The sequence below is a fragment of the Homo sapiens genome, chromosome 3 (genome assembly GCF_000001405.40).
Source record: "Homo sapiens chromosome 3, GRCh38.p14 Primary Assembly".
NCBI classification, from domain to species: Eukaryota; Metazoa; Chordata; class Mammalia; order Primates; family Hominidae; genus Homo; species Homo sapiens.
The window spans coordinates 187,590,809-187,595,686 of NC_000003.12; positions in this window are offsets into that span (position 1 = coordinate 187,590,809).

Below are 4,878 nucleotides of genomic sequence, written 5' to 3' on the forward strand. Positions count from 1 at the left end.
TTTTTAATTCCAAGGCCTCCTTCTGGTTTTTATGCTTCCTATTCTTGTTTCAGCTCTTATCTCTCCGGGGATGTTAATTGTAAGTTATTATATTTTAATTTTCTTCTGCCCTGCATTGTCTCTGTGTCCTCTGAATTCATTATTATTATTGTTTGTTTGTTGTAATCATCTCTTTTACACTCATGTTTGAAGGCTTTTCAGATGCCTGGTATCCTTGGCAACCCATTCATACGTTCATACTTCTTTGTGACTGTGGATGGGACATGCCGACTCTCTATCTTTTCTGTGGAGTTCTCAGGCATCTGGTTAGCTTTTGTTTGGCACTTTATATAAAATCTACAAGTCTTTTTAAATGAATTCCTTTGGTTTCCCCATAGAAAAACACATTCTGCCCTGTGGCCAGAGCTCCAGCTACCAAGGCCCAGGGGGAGGGGCAGGGGGCGGGTGGGATGCGGTTAGAAAGTGAAATGAGACTTCCTTGGTTCAGTATGCAAATCTTTCCCTTCCCCTTCCCCGTGTTTTAGGCCATATATTAGACATCAGCCTTGCACTATGTGTGGTGCCCCAACTCAGGAATGAAATGATTCTGTTTTCCAAGAGAGCAAGCCTCAGGTCTCCAGTGTTGTGAGGCACGGCTAACTCCCTAGTAGTCTGTAGTAAGAAAGGGAACCGGAGTGCTCACGATTCTTTTTCAGGCTTCCAGCTAATCTCCCTGCTTTTGCTCCCAGCACCCTCTCCCTGCTCTTTCTGCCACAGCTGAGATTCGTAAGGGTTCTGTGGGTCACATCAGCTCACTTCTCATAGCACCCCACTTTTGGGGTCCTTGTGTTGGCATGGTCTTTACCCCACTTTCAGACTTTTCAAAATATGTTGGCATCTCTTGCTGTGGATGCCTCTCCTGTGCTCCTTTGTCCTTGGGACAAGGGCATGTCTGTAATCAATTCAAAATTGTTTTTAATAGAGATAGGATCTCACTATGTTGCCAGGCTGGTCTTGAACTATTGGGCTCACGTGATCCTCCTGCCTTGGCCTTCCAAAGTGCTAGGAGGAAATATTTTTCAATATTTTCCAGTATTTTTAAGGGAAATCCAGACTAGTTTTAAGGCAACATTTAAAACTCTCATGCTTTCCAGGGCCCTGCTTTGAAAACTTTTGAAGATATCCAGATTCCTTAGTTGAGGCTATTTCCACAGTGCTCCTGAGTCTCTGTGGAATCAAATGACTCAAGCAGCTTCAAGAATCCCTTGTATAACATGACCTTTAGAAAAGTAGAGAAAATGAAAAGCTTCTCTTGGAATGCAAATCATCAATTGTTTGAAAAATCCAAAGTTTGCAACATCATCTCAGGGTGGCTGCAAACATCAAACTGATAAAAGAGCCTCTAGAGCTCCTTTTCTGACATAGGGAATTCTGTGTTTGTTTTTCTTATTGTCTTGAGGAGTTGCAGGAGAGCTTTTCTGTTTTCTCTTTTCTCTTTTAGTATTTTAAAATTGAATCAGACTTGAAGTGACTCCTCCTTGAGCATGTGCTAAAGCAGCTGTGATGACCGGAAGTCATGGCCAGAAAATCTTCCACAGGAAACAACACACTCACACACACACCTTTAATTATTCAAACTCCCAAAGGTTCTGAAGTTAAACAAGTTCTTCCTCGGGAGAGCAGACTTGACCCTCTTTTCCCTACTCTCTTCCCCAACCTCAACTCCTGCACAAGAACTTCAAGGACGCAGCCATAAATTAGGTTGACATCTAGAAGCCCCCTCCATCTAAAACTGATGGAGAACCACAAAAACTGGGAAGGTTTCCTCCTCTGGGGCTGTGAATTTCTGCTTCTCTCATTAATAAGATAATTTTACTTCCTTGGGCAAAATGGAGCATAGCTGTCTCTTATTCATGACAGAGAAATCATAATATTATTTTAGTTTATCTTCAGCACCCCTCCAATTCTCATTGAGTTATTCTGGGCGCAAACCAGGTTATTTTTGGCATTTCCAATGTACTAAGCTTCATGAAGAAAAGAGGCAGAAAAGCAGAGTATTTAGGATCCCGGTATTAAACACACTTGGATTGAAATCCTGGCTCCCTCACTACATGCCTATGATGTTTAGTAATATCTGAATATTATTGGTTACTTAATTTATAATATTCATAATTATCTATGAAATACATAATAATATAAACTTTCAATAGGACAGTGAGAAGGATTAAATTTAATAAAGCATATGAGGAGCTAAACTTCTGTGGCATATAGTAAATGCTCAATCAATTTAGGTTGTCATGATTGTAATCAGGAAGATAAAATAACGTGTGTGTGTGTGTTTAGTTATGCTAGATAGGTGATTTTTGAGCTGCAGAGATTTTGAACTCTTAAACGAAGGAATACCATCATTCTCTGTGCTGGACAGACTTTCTGATGGCTCCAGCTTAATTTCCATCATAATGTTGTAAGACTTTCTCCTTAGTTTAGCTAAAAATTGGGTCCTTGCCACATGACCATGAAATATTAGGCTCGCAGACTCTTTGAAGGGTGAGAAAAATGGAATTTATTGGGCGAAAAGGAAAAAAACTCAGCAACACGAGATAGGTTCCTGTAAACATGCTCTCACATCAGATTGAATCCCAGCTTCCACCCAGGAAGAGGAGGGGCCAGGCTCCTGCCTACTGCAACCGGCATGAGCTTCCCGAGGCTCCACCCAAATGCACAGTCCTCCCAGTGTGCAGGCAGGTCAGAGGTTCTCCAGGGATCCCTTTACACTTGGCTGTCTCAATAACTCAACCACAACTCCTCTGCCAAGGACAGTTCACACTGCCTCTCAGAACTGAGCTCATGTAATGGCAGCTCATGTCATCTTCAGAGAGCTCAGCTGTTAGAAAATCATTCTGATTGTCAGCTAAAATGTTGTTCTCTATAATTTTCATCTGTTGGTTATGCAGCCTCTTGAAGGTGCATGATGCGAGTCTAATCTCATCTTCACTCCATGGTCCTCCAGGAATTTGAACACAGCTAGTAAGTGCTCCGCGAGCTTTCTTTTGACTGAGGTCACTAAGCTGAACATGTCCATTGCCTTCCATGGCTTGTCTCATGTTTTGTTCCCAGGCCCCTCTCCTCCTGGACACACTTTATCTTCACCATGAGTGGTACCCAGGGCTGAATGCACTGTTGAAGCAGTGCTCTCACCAAGGCAAAGCACAGCTCATCTCTTTCTCAAGGAATTTTAAATCTACCGAGCCCCATGAGTATGCCAAAAAGACCATATGAAAGGAATCCATATGCCAGACAAAGGAAACTAAAACCAAGATCCAGTAAAGTTAAGCCCATTAAAATTCCTTTAAATTGTGCCCAGGACTGGCTATCTTAAAACTGGTTCCTGTGCCTTTATTTATCACAGCATGTGCTGAAAAATTGTGAGGCAGAATGAAGTATTTAGGGTACTAGATTTCCTAGACTATCTTTTCAACTCAATTGTGAGAACCAGTCCCATGATTAAAATCAAATTTGGGTACAAGTTCTGCCTCTGCCATTTAACAAAAACAAATTTTACAGATTGTGTGACCTTGCTTGCCTCCCTGAAAGTTCCTTGAATCTTTAAGGTAGAAGCAGTAATTCCTGCCTCCCATGACTGTGGAGAGAAGCCTGTGGTCAATGCTTGTAGCATCCACACGGGGTCTGCAGCAGGAATTGCTCTGAGGTACTGCCACTACCTGCCTTGAGAACAGCCTCCAGATCACTCTGTTGCAGGGACTCTCTCTGCTCTCCGTTTAAAAAGCAACCTATTGGAAAGTTCAAAAGACTATTGGCAGAATGGACTCTTTGGGTAAAAGAACTGTGAAATGGGGTTAAGGGACCTAGAATTTACTTCCAGCTAGCTCATATGACCTTGGGCAAGTCCCTGTGTGTGCGTGTGTAAACCAGACACAGTCTCAGTTTCCTTAGTTGTAAAACAGGGATCTTGGTTAATTGGAAGATTCTTTCCTAATCTAATGATTTGTGATTCTAATTTACTCTCTCCTCCTCCAGCTTACATCATTGTTTGATATTTCCCAGAATATATGAAAGATGAAAAGTATACTTCAGAAAGCTAAATTTTGCAGTTCCTGGAAGCGTTCATGCTTATGCCTCAAATGGTCATTTAGATTATTTCTTCTTACCCCTTTTGTGACTGGCTGAATTTTGGAGCTATACAGTATGTCAGTATGTGTGCAATTTCTATTTCCTAGGCAGTGGGGAGTTATTCTAAGAAGGATAAAGAGACAGATCAGTAATCACTCAGGCCTCATGCTGAGTGGACCCATGTGCCTTACCTCGAGATTTGCTGAGTGAGAGAGATGCTCTACATAGCTGCCTGGCAGGTGTCCAGGGGCCAAGTCTACTAAGTAGCAAGCTTGCCTTGCAAGATTGCCAAGTTACGACCTCACCGTAATATCCAGAATCCAGGCATCTAGGCAGCGACAAACAATAAATGCAGGAAAAATAAGACCCCAATATTTCTATAACACCAATGAACACTTTTCATTGTGTTCACATTCATTGCAACAATATTGACCCTAATACACAACTCTAGAATTTGTAAAACCATTTTACTCCCAATAGTTTACAATAACAATAACCTTGCAACATAAGTGGGCCATGGGAGGAAAGAGCAGGGGTGATTACTATTTTGTCCTGGTAGAAAAAAAAAATGTTTCTAAGTGAAGATAAAGTACTTTGCAAGGTTTCACAGACAGACAAAAAGAAGTGGCAAAATCAAGACTTGAACTCAAATCGTCTGACTCAAAATCCTTTGTTCAGTCCAATAGACCACATTTCCTCTCACTATCATCAACTTGACTCCCACAGGTGCTAAATGCCGAGAAGGACCAGTGAGAAAGGACAAATAGA